Source organism: Homo sapiens, chromosome X (genome assembly GCF_000001405.40).
Source record: "Homo sapiens chromosome X, GRCh38.p14 Primary Assembly".
Classification (NCBI taxonomy): domain Eukaryota; kingdom Metazoa; phylum Chordata; class Mammalia; order Primates; family Hominidae; genus Homo; species Homo sapiens.
Window position 1 is genome coordinate 148,697,377 of NC_000023.11, and position 24,887 is coordinate 148,722,263.

Sequence of the window (24,887 nt, forward strand, 5' to 3'; positions counted from 1 at the left end):
CTCCTCTAACTGGAGAGTATCACCATTGTAGGCTGAGATTTACTGTCTCAAATGAATAATCAGTATTGAGCGTTATAGATCTTGCCTTTATGTCCTGCTACTACATCTACAGCAGATGGGTCAGGCCATTTACCAATCCGATCTCCTCAGGCACATTTCTTTCCCTAGGCCATTGTTCATACCATTTTTCCTTATATACAATGTTCCTTCTGTCGCCACTTTTTTCAATCTTTCCCCTTCCTCTTCAACAGGAGACATTTATCTAATTCCTAGTTCCCATTAGAAAAAAAAAAAGAACCAATTTAGGTAAATTTATAATTCTGAACTTTGGTTATTTGAGGTTATTTGATGTATCATCTTCATACTTGAGTAGCTGAGGTCATGGGTCTGCAAGCACCTGGTGGGGTTGTTGTATACAGGATGCAACAGAGTCCAGCCCAGGGCTCTGAGCCTTTTCTACATGGAAAATGATTTTACTGCATTTATAAATGATATGACTATAGCTGGTTTGAAATATATGTCATAGCTTTAGGCTAGAAAAATGTTTTGTTAATGTATTTGAATGTAAAATACCAGGACAGGTAATTTATAATGGGATATTGATACACTTTTAACAAATTCCAGATCTCCTCAGAAGTGCAAATGCTGAATGTATTGCAACCATGTATAATTGTATTATGGCAATAAACATATACGTGTGTGTCTAGAGTACACATGTCATTGCAGGCGTCATAGTACAGTGGATTTGTATTGAACTTTGACTAAAGTCAGTCCTGATTTCATTTAAAAAATTGTGTTAACCTTTGGTAATTAGAATATAAAACCAGGAAGACTCAAAATTGTTAGTCTAACTTTTGTTTATTGACTAGAACATCTAAATGGCTTTAGGCATCACAAAAGTATAAAAAAAGTGGCTTCCTATTGGGTCTTTGATCCATCTTAATTTATTTTTGATGCTGTATGCAGTTTCTGAATATCTTTTGTGGCTTGTAATAAAATAGCCACAGTGCAATTTTGCATGTATGTCAAGCGACGCGTGACCTGCTATGCAAATTTAATACCAAGGTGCCAAAGCTGAATTCATAATGTTTCTCAGCTACAGAGCTGTTTAAGGCAGTTTAGAAATCAATGAATATGTAATATGAAGGTGATAAGACCTAAATAAAAACCCTATTTATCTACTATGAAAAAGTATTTATACACAGAATACTTAGCACATGCAAAAAATGGACAGAGTTTCCAATTATATGGTTTGCATAAACAAATGTTAAACTGCGTGCTCTGAATAGATAATAATGTGACCAGTCCCTCTGCATTGTGCTTTAAACTTTGAAAATGTTTACAGATGTGTTTCCCCTCTTAAGATATAAATAAAACAAAATGTGCAGCTGAAGCAGTGGGATCTAATCTGAGTTCTAGTGTTTTTTTTTTTTTTTTTTTTCTGTATTTTATGTTAGCCTAGATTCTATACTTGATATAGGGCTGAACTTCTTTAATACCAGGGTAAGCAGACATGTGTTTTATGAAGTCTTGTGCTTTATTTTGCAATAAGAAAGATCAACTGACAGTGATTGATTAAAGTGAGAAAATTCTAATAACCCAGGTTACTGTAGAATGTGTAATATTATTTGGATCTGAACTTCTGATATGCCACTATTTAAATCTATATGATGCTATTGTTTCTGTTGGAGTGGTTATGCCATAATTCTGGTAAACATTTGAGGAGTTTGTACAGTAGCTGACTACAGTGTGAGAAGAGATTAACAGGGAAGACAGGACTTGATTGATGGGAGTCAGTCCTGGCTTTTTATCATGGGAAAAATATATTTGTGCTTCTACCCAGAGAGAAGGATAAAGCAAGTGAGTGTGTTTTTGTATGTGCAATGTGTGTGCTTACATGCATATGGAAGTGCGCATAGGTATACCTGCACATGCATGCATTCACACATACACTCAGTCTGTACTGTTTATGACGCCCCTGCCAGTCAGATTCCAGACACATTTATATCCTCTGGTTTAGAGTAAGCTGCTACGATAATGACAAATAGTGTTTAGAGCAGTCAAGGAAAATGTAGGGGTGATATTTGAAAATAGCATCTATAATGCCATCTGGGTGGTGCTGATACTTTGGAGAGCATGGAATACACCTATCTAGAGGGCAAGTGCTCTCAAAACAAAGTCAGAAGAAGGTCTATATGGTAGGGAAAGTCATGACTCTTGGTAGATAATGATGAACTTTCACTCAGGGTCTGTATTTAGGTCTTTGAAGGAGGAAAATCAATTTCTAGAAATTTAGCTCAGTTAAAGCCACAGTTGGTCCTTAGATAAGCTGCCAGAATAGACACCACAGCTAGAAAACTGATGGGTCCCTGTCTTTGAATTTTTACTTGCCATATGTTTCCTTTGGATAGCAGCATACTCAATAAGAATGCTTAAAAACCAGACAGTAATTCTAAGGAAGGCCAAAATAAAGAGCAAGTATAAGTATATCCGATCAAATGTCAATGTTTTAATGTTAAATTTTATTTAGATTGTTTTGGGCCATTGTATTTTCTTTTAAAAAGCTTAAACACACAGTAATTTATGCATTTCACCTGAAGGTTACATATCGTTTTACAAATGGGATGTGATTTCAGGCACTGTTCATCCTGTTTAAGAAATGGAGAAACTGTCAGGGTATGTGATGTGATTCTCAAAATATCAGTGACATATTTGGGTTGTGGAGACTGGTGAAATGGAGATGTGGCAATTACCAGGGTCATTTCAACAACAGAGACAGCCAAACTTGATAATTCAGACAAAAAATTATCTACCTTGGCCACTTTCATTGAGCAGATGAACTAAAAAGTTGCCAAATCTCAACTTCCTGATGCTCTGTTCAAACCAGCCTTCCCTGCAACAGGACCAGGCAAGCAGGCTGACTCCCAGGGCAGGCTCTCGTTCTACTTAGCTTAATTAAATGTGCCAGGCACCCGAAGTGGTGGAGTTACCCAAGGGAGTATTTGAGCCCCATATTGATCCAAAGGAAGGGAGTACTGTTGAAGTGTGTGTGTGTGTGTGTGTGTGTGTGTGTGTGTGTGTGTGTGGTGATTGCGGGGGGATTCTATTCTGAAGTGCCCACCATGTTTCTAAAAGAGCCTCGGTCCTGGCACTGAGGCACTCCATCCTCCACAAGCTCCACTCCCCTGATATGTTCTTTCCAATAAGCTCTTCTGTCCTTGGCTTTTTGCAGATGCTGCCGTGAAGAGGAAGTTAATAACAGGTGTTTTGGAATATAACTACAGAAAAGCATTAAAAATTGTTGTTGTTGTTGTTGTTTAGAAAGAACATCTGTAGACTCAATTATTTTTCAAGATTCTAATTTACTGCTGTGCAAACTACAGGGCAAATTATATTATATGTATTTAGCCCTACTCTGTTGCTATACTCCTGAGAATTTAATTGGCAAGCAAATGTCCTGTCAAAATGCCTTCTGTGGCTGGAAATCTTTCTAGCTCTTAGAGATTATAAGGCTCAAAATTAACTAGAATTCCCCTAATAAAATTTCAGTTCATAATTTGGGGCCTTTGCCCTTTGTATTCTGTGAGAACTTTTTGGTAGGTATGATGGGAGAGAGAGAGAGAGAGAGAGAGAGAATGTGTGTGTGTGTGTGTGTGTGTGTGTGTGTGTGTGTGTGTTTTGTGCCCATGTGCACATGTGCCCACACCATTATGGTAAATTGCCTTGGTGGATTCCACTCAGCTGTGTAAAAATCTGTAATTCTGGCAGGAACAATTATATCATGTCCATAATATTGAAATAGACCTCCTAGGTTTAGAGAAAAGTGGTTTTTCGCAGACAAAATTGTGTTCTAAGGGATGTGCTAGTAAGCATTTTGATGAGCACAAGCTTATGTGTGGAAAATGTTCGACCCATCTCTCAACGCCTGGTGGAACACTCACTAGTTTTAACATTTAAAGTGCTTTTTAAAAATGGCACTTTAAAGAATCATATAGGGTCCTCCATCTGTTCTGATATCCATTCCTTCATAGATAAGAAAAATATGTTCATTGTTCTAGAATTCATTGCCATGATAAATGACAAAATTTCCAGGGAATTTATATAATGTCCAAATGAGGAAAGCCAATCCAGGAAGAATCTGCATTGAAAATATAACCATTATTTCCAACCATTATCCATGATTTCAGATGTTCAAAAATAGAAACAAAATTTTGAAATTATTTTAATACTCTACAGAATAGCACTATTTTCCTGAAGAAACATTTTTCTAGAATCGTTGCTTTAGAATGTAGTTTTCAGTGCATCTTTATTGGGAACACATTGTGGTACACTCACACACTCAGTTTTAACCCTGAAGTGTAATTTACTTGGCACTTAAATTGATTTTATTTGTGGTTGTATGTCTGTGAATTAGTCTGTAACTTACTGTGAAATTTGCCATCTCTGCCGTGATCAACCCATGAAATTTATCATCTGTCTCTCTGATTTACACAAAACTCCATTTATAATCATCAAACCCAATTTACAAGTGAACAGTATTAAACTAAAATTCTGAACATTGAAGCATTTTGACATTGTATTTGCTGTGCATTGAAAAAGTAAATTACAAGTGTGAACCATGTATAGATATTTTGACATTTATATTTTTAGGTTTCATTTGATCTTAAGTGTGCCATTATTGTGAATTCATTTGCTATTACTGGAAAAGTACTTAATATAATGGATTCATTAGGTATCCACGTGGATGTCACATTTTTTTTATATATTCTACTATAGTTTTACTTCAATTCCACTCTAGAATTGGTTGATGGATTCTCTCATAACTATAGTTCATTTCTAAACATCTAAAACTCCTAACTAAATTTTCTCATACTTAAAATTGTTTAATTATATGGCTTGGAAATAGGAAATTTTACTTGGTCCTTGTCAGAAATATTGAGTAATGGCAGTTCCATTAGAATGGCGTTCATTGTTGATAACTGGGAACAATGTGGTGCAAATGGTGTTAAAGAGACATTGGTGAGGAGGAAAAGAAAAGAAATGCCATTTCCAGGTAAGTTTTTCTGCATCTTTTTTGGTAAATGCCACCATACCGAGCCCTCATTTGTTCTTGTCTTTTCTTAATGCTTTATCTGTTCCTTCAGTGCCGCAATCAGGCACAGGTGGTTCCCTTCACCAAGTGAATGAATATTTAGTGCTGTCAGGAGTGTCCCATGAAAAAGCCCTTCCAGATATCTCCAAACTAGGCTGATTTGTCATTTCTGAACAGGGGATTCCTGTGAGTCACTTCTACACTTAAGCGAAATCTAACCAGCAGAATTACCTAACACTGCAGTTCAAGCCCATATGATTAGTGATGAATCTTCCTAGGGCATTTTAAACAAAAGTGGCTTCATATCCAATTGTACTGGAAAGGGCAGACAGTCTGCATCAAAGCTTTGGATTGTTGAGAAACAATAGCATACGGTTATGATTTTAGCTTGTTTGTACAGCTACAGTGAACTGTTTGCTCGAGATACGATTTCGGGTAAACAAGCCCCTCTAGACTCACTTGGAAAAGCGAACAAGTTCATTGAAACTCTTTGCCTATTAGGCTCAGGAAGAAAATTGAGGCTGAAATCTGCCAGTATTTATAATAGAGTATTTGATTCAGTTGTTTTATCTTATAGTAAAACCAGTGAGAAGAGACAAAGAATTTGAGGGACCAGAACAGACAAAAGTACATATAAAAGTATGTTTAATAAAGGCATAGTGTCAAGGCATTTAGACCTCTCTATCCTACCTTCAGCATTTCCTGTTACCTTTAACAATGTGGTGATTCTCCACTCTAATATCAACTGCAATCTTCTAATTTCAGGAATAAATTGCATACAAAAGTTATTTTCATATTACAGGGCCCGGAAGACAAAGGAATGCCAAGCCTGGACCAAGATATTCAGATTATAATTTGTTTTCTTTTTCTAAATCCTCACTAACCATGAACCATTTCTCCCATTCATGAACTGGTAACAGGTGTCATGCCAAATGATTCTTTTAAAAATAATATCTGTTTCCCACGTTTCAGGTGTGTGCATATCCCAGGAAAAATAATTGTCTGATTTATATGGATCCCCCAAGGTACATTAAACTTGGATATTAAAACAGTAGGTTTATTCTAGGTGAGGCATGGATTTAGAAGTTTAGTTTTTGTTTCAGAGTTTTTGAGAGTAAATCTCTTGCTTTAGAATTACTGATGCAGTGGAACAGACAGCGTATCAATGGTTGATTCTAAGGTAATAGAATTTAATACAGCTCACTGTATGGTTCACAGCCTTTTCCTCTACCCTCTTCTTGCTACCTATGCTAATCCTTCCCAAATCCTATCTCCTGTCCACACTTAGATTTCTAACTTTATTTTATATTTCCACCTGGATACCCCACACATAGTAAAAAACCCACTAATTTTATTCTTAAGAGTTTCACTTATTAGTTATAATTATTAATGCAACCTTAAATAGGCCAGAAAAATAGAACTCCATCTTCTTTTTTATTGAGACAGGATCTTGCTCTGTTGCCCAGGCTGGAGTGCAATGGCACAATCATGGCTCAGTGCAGCCTTGACGTGGACTTCCTGGGCTCAAATGATCCTTGCACCTCAGCCTCCCAAGTAGCTGGGACTACAGGTGCATGCCACCACACCCTGCTAATATATATATTATAAATATATGCCTATAATTATATATATATTATATATATATATATTTATATATGCCTATGATTAGGGTGACTGCAAGTGGTTTTGGAACATAATTTATTTTCAGAAATTTTTATGTTGGGTGAAATAGGAAGTATTGGAAATCCTATATATATATGTGTGTATATATATATTTATATATATATGTGTGTATATATATATTTATATATATATGTGTGTATATATATATTTATATATATGTGTGTATATATATATTTATATATATGTGTGTATATATATATTTATATATATATGTGTGTATATATATATTTATATATATGTGTAGATATATATTTATATATATGTGTAGATATATATTTATATATGTGTATATATATATTTATATATGTGTATATATTTATATATATGTGTATATATATATTTATATATATGTGTATATATATATTTTTATATATATATATAAAAATTTTTTTTGAGACATAGTCTTGCTCTGACGTGCAGGCTGGAGTGCAGTGGCACGATCTCAGCTCACTGCAACCTCCACTTCCCAGGTTGAAACAATTCTCCTGCTTCAGCCTCCCGAGTAGCTGGGACTACAGGTGTGAGCCACCACACCCGGCTAATTTTTGTACTTTTAGTAGAGATGGGGTTTCACCATGTTAGCCAGGCTGGTCTTGAACTCCTGACCTCAGGCAATCCACCCGCCTCGGCCTCCCAAAGTGCTAGGATTACAGGTGTGAGCCACCACACCCGGCCTATTATTTTTATTATTATTTGTAGAGATGAGGATCTCACTATGTTGCCCAAGGTGGACTCCAACTCCTGACCTCAAGCAATCCTCCCACCTCGGCCTCCCAAAGTATTGAGATTAGAAGCAAGAGCTACCGTGCCCGGCCCCCATCTTCCTTTATAACATAATTTGTTTCACACAGGCACCCAAGTTCAAAACCCTACCTTCAACAGCCAATCCAGTACTGCCTGACAATTTACCAATTTATGATGCATTCCTCTTTGGATATTTTAAATATTTTAATTGTAACATATATCCCACTTCAATTCTTATTCTGATACTTCTACCTTTTCTTGTATAATGTGTATTCCTTGAATAGATCATTTATTATATTCATCATGGTATCCCCACTCCCCAACACAGTATCATTTACACAGTGAGTATGTCATAAATGTTTGTGAATCAAGTCAACTGGAATCAAATGGAATCCAAGTATATAATTGCACAAAGTCAAGGTGCCACAGTCAAGACCTCATAGCAGAAGCAGTACACTTCTTAGTGGTTAACATGGGATGTAGTGATCAAAGAGCAAACAGAATCTTAGCCAGGAGAAAGTGTATTATTTTCCAAAAGGGCAGTGATCACGTTGCAGTTGACTCTATACTGTTAAGACTGTGCCACAGGAGTTTCACTGAGGACTGTGTGCCACAGTTAAAGGCACCATAAACTGGAATGAGTTGAGAAGAATGTGAGCAGAGGACTTAGCTTTTTCATGTGAAGCCAAGTCAGATAACTTAGGGAACAACGGAGTTTTCATCATATATCTGACAGTCTGTTGAATGGAAGGGAAGAGTAATATGGCTTGTTCTATGTGGGTATAAGGAATGAAGTCCCCATCAACTGATGAAAACTTCATCAAGGCCAGTATTGGCTGAGTGGTCAATAATGTGTGCCTCATCTTGAGTTAGAGGAAGTATGAGTTTTCTGTCACAGAAAGTGTGTAAAGAGAGGCTAGAGAAGCTCTTGAGAGGGGATGATTCATAGAGGAGTCAAGTATAAGATGAGGATCCTCATCAACTAGAGGTCTACAATTAAGAGATCCTTCTGACTGTGCAATCCTGGGGCTCTATACATTCACAGAATTAGGAGATCCTTCTAACTATGCAATCCTGGGGCTCTATACATTTGGGAGGAGCCCTCCTTATCATCTCATAAAATATTTGTGAACTTCAGTTTTAGTTGTACATTTTGATCCTCTGTAAATCAACTGCACTTCTTAAACCCTTAACTTATTTATTCTAGCTTCTGATATCACTCCCTTCACTTCAGTGCAAGAATCATTTGTGCTCTCCAGTAATTAACTCCAAAATCTTGTTTCTCAGAGCCTTGCATTAAAATTGCATTTTCAGAGGTGAGTGCTTCTGGTAGCCATTCTAGCTACAGTTCTTCCTGGGAAACTATATGGACATGATGTCTGCCATTTCGGAACCTGTCCATTCGGCAAGAAAACAAGTCATTCACCTTTGCATATGGAGCAATAGAATTGTAGGCCAGAGGAACTGTTGATAGCTTCTGTCAAGGGTTCTCCCACCATTGAATCCACCAGCATCACTATTGCCAAAAAGCTATCTGCCGTGGTAAACTCAGCTATTTAAAACTTTGAGAAAGCTCACATGTCATACGACATTCATGGCACACGCTTCCACTACTGTAATACCTTCACTTTATTGGAGTTGTCCCAGATACATTTAAGTACCTGTGTGATTCCTTTTCCAGATCAAGAATGTTCAAATTAGGATCAAGAGGGTGTGTTGATGTGATAGCCCGCACCAGAATATAAGGATGCTCTTTCTTTGAGGCTTGGAATAAAATGAAAGAGAGATCACTTGAAATGCTTATGGCTTCCTATGCCCTTATTTCAGCTTTACTGACCATTTGCAAGGATGTTCCATAGTTCATGAATGCAACTCACATTTGAGTGTAGTGGGGAAAAATCATTGGCCAATTTAAAAAGTCATTGTCTGCAAATGTTTTGACTGAGTTGTGCCTAAACAGAAGATTCTCTTTTTAGGATAGATATCATTCTTTCATCCTGTCTGGTGTTAGAGCCAAGCTGCTTCTTTCAGTAGTCTATCGTTTCTTTTGAGGACAGAGATTATGTCTTGTCTTTCACTATGTAGACATAGCTTATCAGAGTCTCTTGTACTCATAGTAATGGCTTTGGACCCATTTACTAGATTGAATGGTTTGAATTTGTTTTGGAAAGTTGTGATCTGTTCTAGTTTTTATTTCAGTTTTAGTTTCATAACAATAGCTCTGATTTGCAAATTGGAAGAATCTAGACTGTTAGAAGACTGTCAAAATAGAATGTGAATATACAGAGACACCATCTAATTCTCATTTCTAGGGATAGTAACATGGTAAGTTCTAATGTTGCCCTAAATACATATTTTTGAGGAGTTGAAATCGTTCTGCTTGCTGTATTTGTACAGAGATATCTTTTATTCAGTTTTATCTATTCGTTGTAGAGACTAAAATCTGTGTATTGTAGGCATTAACATATTAATCTTTTTAAGTTCTCCAGAATAGAATCTTTTTGGCACTTTCATGTTTGGAAATTATAACTCGTAATTAGGCATATTATCACTTTATAGAAAAATAATATATCACTATAGAACTGAAAATAATATATATATTTTTTTTCCTTTTTTTTTGTCATTTGGGGGAAGGAAGGTGGTTTACATTGAGTATCTCTTATTTGCCAAAAAGTGTGGGAAGTTTTTTTGTATACATCATTTCATTTAATTTTTGTGATTCTTTGAAGCAGGTGTTATCATCATCCCAATTTTATTAATGTTCAAACTGAGTCTCCAAGGGATTAAAGTATCTGGCTTGAGGTCATAGAATAAAGGATTTAAACTAAAAATCTGTCCAGTTTCCAAACCAATGTTTCTTTAAACTACAATAAATCCATGCAATTGGGCTTGTTGTCTGTGGCATCGTGCTTTGTATTAGTGTTTTACTTTTGATCCAATGTCATCATTAGAATTTTGCAATGCCTCTCATTTATTCTAAGAATAGCTCATATTTAAAGAAATGCAGAAAGAATGGCCACTCAAATTTTAATGGTGGTAATGTTAGAGGACAGAACTGCAAATGATTCATCACAAATATAAAATAAGCACATGAAATAAAAAGAACAAAGCATACTGTTGGAATTACCCTGCAGCCCCCTAAATCTTTTAAATCCTACTAACTTGCAACCACAATTGTTGGCTTATTCTTGTTAGTACTCCAGTGTTTCAATTGTTGTTTTTTAATGCTTGCTCACTCATTGTTGCAAAATGTTCTGGTAATTGGATCTTTAAAAAATCTTCAGAATATTATAGATGAGCTTGTTTGCAAATGTGCACATATTAGAGTCTGAACTGTGCACTTTAACCATTCTAGAGATATTGAAAACATGCTAGAAAGTTATGTCATGGAATAAAAAGGAGCTAAATCAAAGATTTAAGCTGCCTCCTGTCACTCCATTAGAGACAACTACTCACATGTACCATTGTGGTCTAAGTGAAAGGTAAATCTTACAAGTAATGGCTTTATTCTCATATTCTTTGATCAGCTGAACTCAGTTGGAGCTATATAAGCAACAAAAAAATCCCCAGCAGGTTAAATCTTTGCCTTTCTTCTAATCTAAATGAAAATATTACAGTCACTAGAAATATGGTAATATGGTGCAAAATGGATCACTTCAGGTCAAGATTTCATGGGTCAACTTGTTTGTTTAAATGTAGTCCCAGATACTCGAGCGACTGAGGCAGGAGAATCACTTGAACCTGGGAGGCGGAGGTTGCAGTGAGCCAAGATCGCGCCACCGCACTCCAGCCTGGGTGATAGAGTGAGACTCCGTCTCAAAAACAAAACAAAACAAAACAAAATTAGACAAATGCTACATTAATGTTTGGGTGGTAAGATTCTATTTTGAAGTCTGAAGTTTGCAGATATGCCTATAGATTTTTGGAGTTTACCACTTTCTTAGTCTGTATCACTAATGAAATATTTTAAATTACTATATATTTTACCGTTTTTCTGTATTTAGTAAGAAATTTGCATTTTTGATTTGATGTAACAAAGGTTTTAATGTAATTTATGTTAGATTTTGCATTTTTTTCGTTACCATTGTACTTTAACCTGACGGAATGACTGATCTCTTTGTATTAGTATTGTGAATAATCATGTGAAATGTTTTGAGACAGAGTATTATATTTGTGAATATAATTTTATGGCTTTTTCACTTAGTAAGAACCTTTCTATTATTGTGGAAAACTAAGAAAATTGCTTTCTGCTGTACAATCTGGCATTCATTGTAGATTAAAGCTTATTTTTCTGTGAATAAAACTTATTCAATAAAATACTAAAAAAATTTTTTTAGGCTAATCAAATTTTGGATTGACTGCCTTGCCAAATGTGCCATTAATTAAATGCCTCCCTGACCACTTTTAACTTGAATGGGAAAAGATAGGATTAGAATGACTATTTTTAAGGATGTCTCTTACACATCCTTGGCACCTGGAACAGTCGTTGGCACACAATAAATGTCAATGTATTGAATGTATAAATTAGTGTGTTTAATGTGAGTGCTCACCAAGGGAAAAACACAATATGTTATTTGTCACCTCTGCAAAATTATAATCGTACCTATCTCATAGAGTTACAGTATAAGGATAAAATTATATAATCATGTTAAATCCTTTGAGTAGTGTATGATACATTGTAATCACTCAGTAAATATTACGGTGTAAAGTACATAGTAGAGGATTTGCTTTTTACAATGACTTTGCTGTTTGAATTGTGAGATACACACATACACACACTCGCAGGCAAGTGCACACACATAGTGTGGCACGGTAGAAAGGGTAGCATACTAGTGGTCAGGAGAACTGGATTGAATGCTTATTCCAAAGTTTGCATGTTCTCTGAAGTCAGGAAGGCATTATTACTTATCTCGCTTCAATTGTCTGTCCTGTAAAATGGGAATTGTAATACTTGAACTGCTGGAAGGCAGGGTTTTAAGATAAACTCTCTTTAGAGGGCTTTTCAAAGGTACTTAATGGCCCTGAGTCAATGATAAACCTAGTATAAATTGAGAAAGCCTAAAATAAGAATAGGTTCATGACCTATAAATACTTAATCTAAAAATCATCACTTAATGATGATGATCACAGAACCTAGAATAGTCATGGGCTATTTAAACTGGAAAAATCCCTTACTCAACAGATTCGGAAATGGAGACCCTGTTAAATAAAGTAAATTGCCCAAAGCCAGACACAATTTCTAAGAGGAAGATTCCAATTAGAAATTACGCATTCAACTAGTGATGAAATTGATCAGGTTGTTCTCATTGCATAACTGACTTGGATTAAAAAATGGCACAACAGAACTGAAGACAAATAAGGCTCTTAAAATATATGCAGTGATAAAATGGATCTCTTTCAAAATGGATGATTCTCTGCACCCTTCCTCTCTGCCTCCCTACATAGCAGTTTCCATCCATCACATAGGCAATATAGACTTGAGAGCAATACTTATAATTTTTCTAGGCTTCTGCTCCATCTTTCTGCTTAGACAAATGGAAACATTTAAATTCTTATGATTTTATAAATAACATAGCATTACATATTTATTCTTGTGGCAAAACATATATGACATCAAATTTACCATTTTAACCATTTTTAGTGTACAATTCAGTGGCATTAAGTATGTTTGCAATATTGTGTAACTGTCATCATTATCTATTTCCAAAATTTTACTTTTTTGTCACCTGAAACAAAAAGTCTAATATAAAACACATTGAGAAATAAAATATATGTTGATTTTTGGAAAATTTGTTAGAGTAGTGCATTAACCTCATGTAGATAATTTGCACAATGGGTTTATGTTTCTTTTTCTGTTAAATTCAGTTTAAACCATGATTTATTTGCCCTAGGTATATGTCATAGCCCTTGGAGGCAAATTTCACATATTTTTGAGCCTGTGAAATAGTACCAGTTTCATAGGTTGGGCCAAGGTCAGTTGACTGGATGAACTGTAAGAATTATCTATCTTAAAAATAACGGCTGGACTGGGCTCATTTTAATACTCTTACTGATCACCATTTTCATATATTGTTTAATTATTTAGAAACCTTTTTCTGTAATGAATTATACCTGATTAAATTATTTGCATTACCATGTGTTTAAATGTGCCAACCATAGTCAAATATTATCATTAAAATGCTTAATTTGCCAAGTATAGAGTCAAGAGCAACTCAGTAAATAAAGGATGAAGAAATTTTCTCTATGTAGAATAGTTTTTCCTTTGCTTGAATATATCATAGTTAAAAATTTTTCTAATGGAGAACAAAGGCTAGAATCCAATTCAGCTCTGGAAAAAAAATCATTTTGTAAAATGGATAAACTGCCATTTTTCTTACCCAGTGATTCATCATGTATTTCTAAATTCTGATAAGAATTGTTACAAGTCTTTTCTCTAGCATTATTAGAAAATCTACATTATTATGTATGACAGACCATGTCAAAATAATTGTGTGTGGGACTAGTCTAGGTTAAGGGGAATCGTATTTGATGTTACTAATTTTCACATTATTTCACCTATAAAAATTCTTCTAGCAGCAAAAGTTTTATTGCACTGTATTTCAGAGTCTCTAATTTATTCATGGGATAAATGTTTCATATAATGAATTTTCAAGTAAATGTATTCTGAAATTCATGCATAACCATGCCTGCTCTAAAACTATAAAAATTTGGTTAAAATTGAGGCATCTCCTCATTCCCCTTGGAAAGTATATTGGGGAACCTGGAAGATTTTATGCTAATGAAGGCAATATGGTTCAGCTTTTCTTTTTATCCAATATATTTCTTTTATTGAGTTCAAACCATTGTCCTAATTAATAACTTTAAATGGAAGCACTTCATCAATTGTATTGAGGCACTAATACTGCTTAAAAGGTAGTATGTGCTAGGCCCATCCTGTGTCATTCAACACATGCCTTGTGATAGAGAAATATGTTCTACATTTTCTTCTGAATATTTTGTGTGGTTTAAGAGCCCTCTGCCATATGATCTTGTATCTGCCTTTCTTCCCTCACTCACTCCCTGCTTCATCTCCTCCTTTGGATTTTTGTAGTGGTGGTGGTGGTTGCTCATCTCGATGCTGTGCTACAGTCTGTGGGCATTGGTAAGGAGCATCTCTCTGGTGTGATCCACACACAATAAACAGACATGAATACAAGTAATGGTTTAAAGCATGCAGTCACATCTGCCTCCATCTTCACATGGAAGGGTGGTCTGAGGTTATTCTGGCAGGATTTTATTCTACTATTTGTTCAATTTGCCAATGTAAGAGATAAACATAGGATTTGGAAGTATAGAATCTATGTTTATCCTCAATACCAAGAATTCTTGTGCCTTGGGAATGTTGCCGTATGCCAAACCCAAGGTATTATATTTAAAGATTAAGTTCCTGAAAAACCCTCATTTTCAAAGAATAACATTATATTGCATTTGTAAAGTTGTAAAGTAGAATTTCATATATAAAAAAATCTGTATTCACTCCCCTCAAGACAGCGAAGAAGGTCACTTTTCCTAGGGAAAAGAACAACACAAATTTTAAAAGATCACACAGTGTGTGTTTCTTTGCCTAGACAGCCTCTTTGGTTTGGAATCCTTCCCTGAAAGATGGGCAGTGATCAGACTGGGCAACCCCTCCCTCAATTAAAAATAAAGAAAAAACAGTCTATTATGTGTAGTTTTTAATGAGTATAAAACTCAATATGCAATGAATTCAATATACAATGAAATGTCAGAAATACAATATATAATGAAATGTTTCATTTGAAGAGAGAGGCTGTTGTGCATTTATACTCATTCATTCATTCACGCATTCAGCGACATTTATTGTGTACCTACTATGGACTGGTCACTTTTCTAGGTTCTAGGGACATAATAATGAATAAAACAAGTCAGGACTCTGCCGTCTTCAAACTTGCATCCTTGGAGCGGTGGCAGATGGATATCAGAGAATAATGAAAATAAGTGTGTAAAATATAAAATATGTAGGATGATGACAAGTGCTATTAAAAACATGAAATCAGGGAGGGTGTTAGAGAATGGCTCAGGGGCTCAATTTCTAAGAGTGGTTAGGAGAGGCCTAACGGATGTGACATTTGAACAAAGACTTGAAGGAGGTGAGGAAGCAAGCCATGGACTATGTGTGGGAAGAGCCTTCCAAACAAGGGGAACAGCAAGTGCAAAGGATGTCTGAAAAATATAAAGAGGCCATAGAGGCTGGAGCAGAGTACTCAAAGGGGAGAATGGCAGCAGATGAGACAGGGAGGGGAAGGTTGTTTCCATTTTGGGTAGGTAGAGAACAGGTCTTGGAGCAGCATCTTGCAGACCATTTATAAGGGCCATGGATTTTACTCTAAGTGAGATGAGAGCCGTTGAAGGGTTTTGAGCAGCACGAGTGAGGCACCTTTGCATGGCACTTTGGTGGTTATAGAAATGCATCAAATTTTGTCATTTCTCTTGATGTGATATAGTAAACTTCGATAATGGGATTTTATAAAACTCATGTCTCTTAGGGCTAGCACCTTCAGTGTTGGGGGAGGTTGGTCTTGCAGTGAAGAATGCACAATGTGCCCTGATTAAATAATTAGCAATAAATTTTACAGAAAATACCTTCAGCATAGGATTTCCAGTACTTCCTATTTCACCCAACATACAAAATTTCTGAAAAATAAATTATGTTCCAAAACCACTTGCAGTCAGCCTAATTATAGGCATCTCTATCTCTTCTATCCATTGGCAGGAATAAACTTGAAAAGGCTGCCCACTTATTGAGTCTTGAGTCCAAAAATCAATGTGAGGTAGTCAGTTCTCAAATAAAAGAGATTGGGAAGAAAGCAGGAAGAGGATTGAAAAATTGGCCTCCTCAGAAATGCACGAAGGGGACATTTGCAGTCTTAAGGGGCATATTTCCTAGTAGCATGTCTTGTAGGGGCCCTACTGAGGTAAATGAGTTAATCTTAGTCTGTTTAAGAAGTTCCATTATAATGGTTCTTTCAGGGTATGAAAATGCAAAGAAGTGAATCTTTCAATGACCAGATGCATAGAAGCATGTTTTAAATGACTGCAATGTAATTGATATATGCTGCCATCAGTTGTGACCCAGGTAATAGTGCAGCTAAAATAATTTCAAGTGGGTCAAGATATCCCTGGAGTACTTCCTGCAGTGTTATAAAAAATCTCCCAGCAATGTATCTTAAGTTCTGTAAATCATGTTAAACTTAATGAAACCTTCTGCAAGAGCATTCCATTTCTATGATGCATTTAACTGCAGTTGTTGACATGTTGTATCTTAATTGAAGAAATATGTAAACTTTTGATTAATTGCTTGTGGTACCAGGAATATAAAATATACTGACCACTTTTTTAAAGTAAGATTTAGGGTATGTGTCTTTATGTATAATTGATTACTCCCTAATTAATTAAAATATGCTCCTTTAGACTTTGTTTTCCATCTCAGACTAATATTTGCATTCCTATGTTGTGGATTTAGTTTATGATGCTTATTTTTTTAAGATAGAAAACTCTGAAACTCAAGGCTGACCTGCAGTATGTTCATCATGTTTATTCTTACTGCTTTGGCACAGTTGAGTTTGATAATAATAATGCTAGCTTAGTTCAGTCAGATTCAGTGCCCTTGGAGTACCTACTCTGTGCAGTACTGTGTTTTGTGGAAGTCGTGCAGTGTCTTCAATTGAACAAGTATATACCATGGCTACAACACAAAAAATTTACTGAGAACCAAAATTTTATGCCAATGGCCTGTCGATAGTCTCCTTCCTCCTAAGATGTCGCCTCCAGAATGTCAGGAGCTTCCTCTGTCTCATTCACTTCTGTATCCCTAGCCAGATTGACACATCAAATTAACCATCATAGTGCTGGACACAGAGTAAATGCTTACTGCATATTTGTTGAAAGAGTGAATAAATGTGAGAACAAACATTTGCTATATACCTACTGTGTGCAGGGGTCTAGGCCAAGTAGGTCACAGTCCCTCCTATTGAGTAGTTTAGTCTTGATGATGTGGGAAATGAGGCTGAAGACAGAAATCAGAGAAACAAAAATAAAATAAAGGGAAGAGGAGAGTGAAAGTTCAAAAATGAGTTGATGGTGTCTGCCAGGAAAAACCAGGAATGCCGTCACTGCAGAGGTGGGGTTCAAGGAAGCATCCCAGGACCTTGAACAGCAGACCTTGAACACCAGGATGAAGCGTAGTCTGGCTGGGAGAATGACGTTGATAGAAGCGCTAACAAGGGAAAGGACACATTATGTTTGCAGAGCAGCAAGTGATCTGAGTTTCTTATCAAGCAATTTATAAAAATGTAGGCATGTTCCTTATCAAGCAATTAGTAAGCATGTTCTTCTAGCACCTTTAATGTCACTAGATTTAGTTTCTGGTTAGGTGTACAAGCAAAGGGGAAGAAGTTCAGCAAGTAATACATCAAGAAAGCCCCAGATCAGCACATATATGTACACCATTCCACTCCCACTAGTGTGTGCTCGCTGGCACACACAGACATACACACACACATGCGTGCATGCTCCGGATGATTCCAAGCATAGCTCTCTCCTGTTGCTGCCAGACTTGACCTCTTCTAATGATGGGGAGCAGACCACAGAGAAGTCTCTTGCACATATCCCAATATGAGGATGATAGGGGCCATTTGAACACATATGTCCAAAGAGAAACCATGAGGTTTTAATTGTGGTCAAAAGCATTCTACTTATAGACTTGAATCCAGATGGATGAATTCACTGCTCAACAGCATAGGTATGAATTTGTTTAATCAACTTCGTAAGAACCAAGTCAAGTTCAGATACACTTACTTTGCAGTCTAATTTTCTAGGGGTCCCAAAGTTTTAATACAATCATCTTCTCTGATTTCCCACAGGAAATGATGATCCCATACATTTAAAATGTTTTAATTACTCAAGGAATACAGGAATACATGATTAAACACAAACACTACAGATAAGCCTCAAGTGCCCTTTTGCTTCTGTCTGAAATTCTTGTCCCTTCTCCTGCTTTTGTAGGTAAAAACTGCTATGAATTTGATGCCTTCAAAGCATCATTTCTCTCTCTCTCTCTGTGTGTGTGTGTATTCACAACCACATTATATATATTATTTTGCATAGGTGCATTTTACATAAATGGTTATATATACATATATATGTGTATGTGTCTGTGTGTACATATATAGTAAGTGTTGCTGTTTTCAGCTAACTATATGTCATAGTAATCTACTGGCTTTAACTCAATCCTTTGACCAGCTGTCCCAAATTCTAGGCTATTAAATATGATAATGCACTGTTTATTGTGCCATCCCCTTGTTGGAGGACACTGGAGTTGTTTCCAGTTTTTTGGCTGTTGGAAACAGTGCTACACTTAACACATTTCTATACTATACTCCTAGTGCCCCCAGGGAAGAATCAAAAGAGAGAACGTTGGACCCTACAACTTAATTTTAAACAAATGTCTTCTGATAGAAGAATCTATGCCAGTGTAAGATGAGCTTCCTTATTTCCTTAACTTCTTATTTCAGGTGATATGAATGACCTTGGTTGGGGGAGTGTTTCTAGATTAGTCATTATTGGTCCTACATATATTTTCCCATGACATACAGGGTGGCAGGCCATTTTCTCTCTGAGTTTACTATGGATGGCTCTGCTACAGTGTCTTGTTTTAATTACTCAAGGAATTACAACTCAAGGTGTTGAAACTGCATATCAGAGGGGATTTCTAAATGCAGGGAGCCCCTCTCTCAGTTGCCTTATCTATATATACTCTTACATAGGAATAGTGACTTACTACTTGCTCTCCCCACTCACCACAGATGCCTTTTGTGGCCTCTGTCTTCCTTCTTTTTCTCACAAATAGTTCTTGGACACCTTTATGTGCCACACACTATTGTAGACACTGGGGATCCATCAAGGAATACAGCAAACTAAATTCTTGCCCATGTGGAGGTTATATTTTAGAGGGAGGAGACAGATAATAAATGATAAGCACAATAAGGAAAGTATAGTATGTTCAAGCATGCTAAGTGCTAGAGGAAAAAAAGGAAAACAGTCTGGCAATTCTGCAAAAAGTTAAAGATAAAGATATCATATAACTCAACAGTTGCACTTCTAGGTATACATTTAAGAGAACTGAAACCATACGTCCACACAGAAAAATGGCACGCAGATGTTCATAATAGCATTATTCATAATAGCCCCAAAGTGGAAACATCTCAAATCTCCATCAATGGACAAACGAATACACAAAATATGGTCTATCCATACAGTGGAATATTATTCAGCCATGTAAATGAATGAAGTACGAATACATACCACAACATAGATGAACCATAACAACATTAGGCTAACTGAAAGAGGTTTGAAACAAAACGTCACATATATTATTTCATTAATATGAAACATTCAGAAATAGGCAAGTCCCTAGAGACAGAAAGCAGCTTATCAGTTACCAGAGGATGGGGAACACAGAGTAACTGCTTAATATGTAGAGTCTCTCCTTTTCGGGTGATGAAAATGTTTAAGAATCAGACAGTGGTGATGTTCACTTAACATTGTGAGTGTACTTAATGCCACTGAATTACACACTTAAAAATGGTTGGTGTTTAATTTTATGTCTTGTAGTTTTACCTACATTTAAAAAAATGGAGCAGGTCAAGGAGGACCTGGATTGCAGAATTGGAGTGCAATTTTGAAGGGTATCACTGAACAGGTGCCATCTGAGCTGCAAACATACCAGGTAGCGGGGGCAGCCATTCAAAGGGTCATAAGAAGGGGCATTGCCTGGTGTGTTCAGAGAACAGGAAGGAGGCAATGTGCCTGGATGTGAGTAAAGGAAGGGCAATAGGAACAGAGGCAGCCTTGGTCTTCCTCATTCACCTGCTGTTTTAGACACCACTGGCTGCAATTGCCCACAGTTAGTTACCTGCCCAAAGTTGCAGTGATGATGGTACTGGCAGTGGTGAGGAAAAGAAGGGAAAAGGCAGAAAAATCACTCCAGATACTTCCCAAGGCCCAGAATTTGATCATACATTATTTCTTTTGACTATGAGTTTCCTTTACATGATATTTCCCCTTAGTTTTTTTTTTTTTTAACATAGAATGCATCTTTCAGTAACACTTTATCTCATATAAAGGAGTGTGGACTTACCTTTTGTAACATCAGTGAAGAAAGGTTAAGGTTCCCAACAATTTAAAGGGATATTATTTCAGTGAATCTCTATGTGAGAATAAATTAAATAAAACAGACATGCAAAAGAAAAAGTGAATTCATTTAGAGAGAGATCATGTCCCTCTGTTCTCAGATGCTTTTGAAGAAAACATAATCATGGATAATCATCCACTGTTGCATTCTCAGGTCTCCTCTGACCCCACAAAATGAGCATAGGGTCATCATTTCCTTTTCAGAAACACTTATAAATAATTGAGCGAGGCAATGATGTGAACTGGGAAGGGCAATGGACCTAGGACTAGAAGCGTGGATTTGGGGCCCAACACTTGTATTTATAATTTGTACAACCTTGGGCAAGACACCTAACCTCAGAGCTGCAGGTTCTTTATCTTCAAGTTCGAAATGATATCATCCCTACCTATCTAACTGGGTCGCCGTGAAGTTCATATGAATCAAAGGTATATAACTGCTTTGAAAAGTACAATTTCATAAATAGAAAGTACTACTATTAGTCTTCAAACATAAAAGCGGTTATCAAGAAAACCTAAAACCTCTCTCCTTCTATGTGTGTTTGCATATTTATAATTTTTTTTTATTTTATGATAGTACACATGTGGAGTCTCTGAGCCCCTTGAGAAAAGGGAAACCTGTTTTATTCATCTCTGTATCCCTGGCACTGAGCAGTGTTCTATACACACAGTAGGAGCATAGTTAGTTAGGCTAGGTTGAGTGAATGGATAAATAAACCAACTGTATTTTGAATTATTCTCATGAGGTAATGGTTTACAGTGTCCCACGATTTACCATGCACACTGTTTGATAGTTTGAGTATTCAGGTGTCTAAGAATGGATGGAGGAAGCTAACAAAACAGAGTTTAAATTGAGATGATGTCATAATTAGCTTATTTATTGTGACCTAGAATAAAGAACATGGTGATTCCACAACAGTTTTGGGGCAGTCTGGGATATTAAGGTGAGTTTTGGTTGTGGCAACCCAGAGGAAGGTTGCAGTGGCCCATCTATCTATCCCAGATGTAAGATATGCTTCACCCCTCTTTCTTGATCCATGAAGTTCAAAAGGAGGCACCAAGCATTTCCGTCCTTCTTCAAGATGAAGGTAGGCAATATGAGTTGGCTGTAGAAGGTCTACAATCAGCCAAAGGCTTAACAAGTAGCTTTTCTCTCTCTTTACAAATGAGTCCTGATCACAGTGAGGTATTTCCTTTGGCTTAAAGCTATCCAAAGCACTGATTTAAATACAGTTCCTTAGAGGTAAAATTGTATGGATTTCCTTCTCACTAAGTAAGGAAACTGAGACAAACACCAGTTAAAGGCCTCAGGGTAGTCAGAATGCTTCACTGACTGTCCCTTTTGGAACTAAGGACAACCAGAGCATAATGGATTGGATCTGAGATTCTCACATCAGAAAGTGAACAGAAGAAAACTGAATGTCATTCTGAGACTTCAGTAAAGGATAATGTCCATTTTCTCATCCACCAAATAGGGATAATTATCTCTAACTTACTAAGTGGTCGTGGGGATCAAAACAAACAACGATAACAAAACAGCCTATTTGTCTGCTATTTAAGTGCTCACATGTTCCAGAATGGATGGTGCAGGCCAACAACATGGGGCTGAGTTTGAAGTCAGAATTAGCTTCTTTATTATCAGCTAGATTTGTTGCTTTCTAACCAGCAACAATGACAACAAAACTTAGCATATGGAGGGGCCCAGCAGAGCTCCTGGCATGTAGTAGGTGCTCACTGAATGTTAAGAAATACAGACCTATAATGAGGGATGCTTGGCAATGGGTATGTAGAATGCTAAAGATAACCACTCACTTTGCCCATTTACATCAGTTAGACCATTGCCACCATTTGCACTCCCAGCCTCTTCCATTCCCCCAACTCTACTCTATTTCCCTCTGTGTTCTCTTGTGTCTTTCTCTAATTTTTTTCAACTCTCACTTTTTTTCCTCCCCTACTTTTTGCTTGGTTCCTCAGTGAGATCTATGAGCATAATATACTCCAACTACAGTAATTCACCTTGCTGAAGTGGCTGCTGAGTTCTGCTTTGAAGGAAATTTACTTATTTAATTTTGGTGGGGGGAAGTTGTGGCTGGACCACTTATAGAAATGTAGGTCTAGTTTTCTGGGAATGTTTAAAGAAACCATGCGCAAATGTACATTGTCTTCCTCCCTCTCTCCTTCCTTCCCTTCCTTTCTTCCTTTCTTCTTTCCTCATTCCCATCCTCCCCCTTTCTTCCTTCCTTCCTTCAATCAATCATATATCCATATTCATATATAGATATATATATTTAATCTTTTACCTATAACTCTTGTCAATTCTATCTTCATTTTTCCCCTTTGGGCTTATGAGTATTTATAGTTGGTGCTCCATAAATGTTTATTATGAGTAACAATGATAATAGTGATAGAAAGAGCAACACATGTGCTATTCCTCAGTGCTTTTTATCTCATGTACAAAATTAAACACTAATGTTGCCATCAGTTACTCCCAAAAAGATGGTGGAAGCATATTTGTTAGTAATATTTTGATAATAACTATATAAACAGATATTTGTCATGCTATTCTGACTCCTACATCTTCATTCACAGAAGAACATTTTATTTACATTGTCAAGTAAGAGGGTGGCAATTTAAGTGACACTTGCAATTTATCACTTGCTTTGCTTTCCAAGGCAAGTCCTAGGAGTTGCATTTTTGAAATGGGTCTAGAATCATTCTTTTCTAAGTGTTTTCAAATATACTCAGAAGGATAAAACAGATCTCTATATCCATATCTCATATTTCTATGGAGGGTTCATAGAGATATTTGTCCTCCATAGAGATATGAGATATAGATATTACCTGAACTTGCACCCTGGAATATTTTCCTTGTCTCAGGTAGTTTAGTTGATTGAAAGCCTCCAGGGTTTATAACATGTCTGTCTAACTGCCTCTTGACATTATAGGCTTAAAGTCTATGTGTAAAGAATCCACTTGGTGGAGGGCAACTTTCTTTTGGGTGTGTATTTTACAATCAAAGTGAGATATTCCAAAATGCAAAGGAAAATATATGCACAGAAAGAAACATGACACTGAACAAAATTGGACAGGCCTGACAAAAAATAGGTGTGGATAAATGAAAACTTGAACCTGGCAGTGAAGAGCACATGATTTGGAGTGGGCCAACACTGGCTCTACCATTTATTTGCTTTGGAACACTGGGGAAAGTCCTTCTCTGGTCCTCAGTTTCCTCACATGTGAAATGGGGATAATAATCGTCTCTACCTCATAGTGTCATTGTGAGTCACAAATGAAACAAATGCATTGAAAATCATTGTGCGGATAACATGAAATAATATTTATCTAGTGCTTAGCAGATAGAACATTGGATAAATAGGGGCAGTTATCACTATTATCCTATCAGACAGGTTGTCTGTGTCAGCCCTTCGTTAGGATGGCATCATCTGCCTAGGACCAACAGTGGAGGGCAGTGTAGAGGCATGATTTTATTTGACTATTTCAATTAGTAAGTGTATCAGGTTGCTAGTGCTGCTGTAACATTGTACTACAAACCAGGTGGCTTAAATAACAAACATTTATTGTCTCATAGTTCTGGAGACTAGAAGACTGCGGTGATGGCAGGGCCATGGTCCATTTGAAGCCCCTAGGGGAAGATACTTCCTTACATTTTCCAGATTTTGGTAGCCCCGGGCGTTGCCGTAGCACTTCAGTGTCTGTCACCATTGTCACATGATATTCTTCTCTGCATGGGTGTGTGTCGATGCCCAAATTTCCCTCTTCTCATAAGGACATCAGTCATATTGGATTTAGAGTGCACCCTACTCTAGTAACTGTTCATCTTAACCTCACAAATTAATCTGCAGTGGCCCTGTTCAAAAATAAGGTCATATACACAGGTACCAGAGGTTAGGATTTCAACACATCTTTTGAGGGTGGGAACGCAGTTCAACTCATAACAGCAAGTGTCTGTTAAGGTCTTATAGTATACTAGGTGCTGATCTTGATATGGAAGGACTGGTCAGAAGGGCAGAGGAAAGAGGGCTTTAAATGAGGGAAATTGTGTGAGTTCTGGTTCAGGAACAACAACAACAACAACAAAAACCCACAAGATTTTGTTCAG

General features: G+C 36.7%; 1 protein-coding gene across 6 annotated transcripts in view; it reads left to right on the forward strand.

Moving 5' to 3' along the window:
• Nucleotides 1-24,887, forward strand: part of AFF2 (ALF transcription elongation factor 2) — a 500,047-nt gene that overhangs the window by 196,760 nt on the left and 278,400 nt on the right. The window contains exon 1 of one of the 6 annotated variants that reach the window (NM_001170628.1): nucleotides 21,715-21,855. The exons of the other annotated variants lie outside the window; for them this stretch is intronic. Coding sequence (NP_001164099.1) covers nucleotides 21,805-21,855 — 51 coding nt within the window. The 5' untranslated portion in view covers nucleotides 21,715-21,804. Of the gene's footprint in view, nucleotides 1-21,714; nucleotides 21,856-24,887 lie in introns of those variants that run through there. 6 annotated transcript variants of the gene reach the window in all.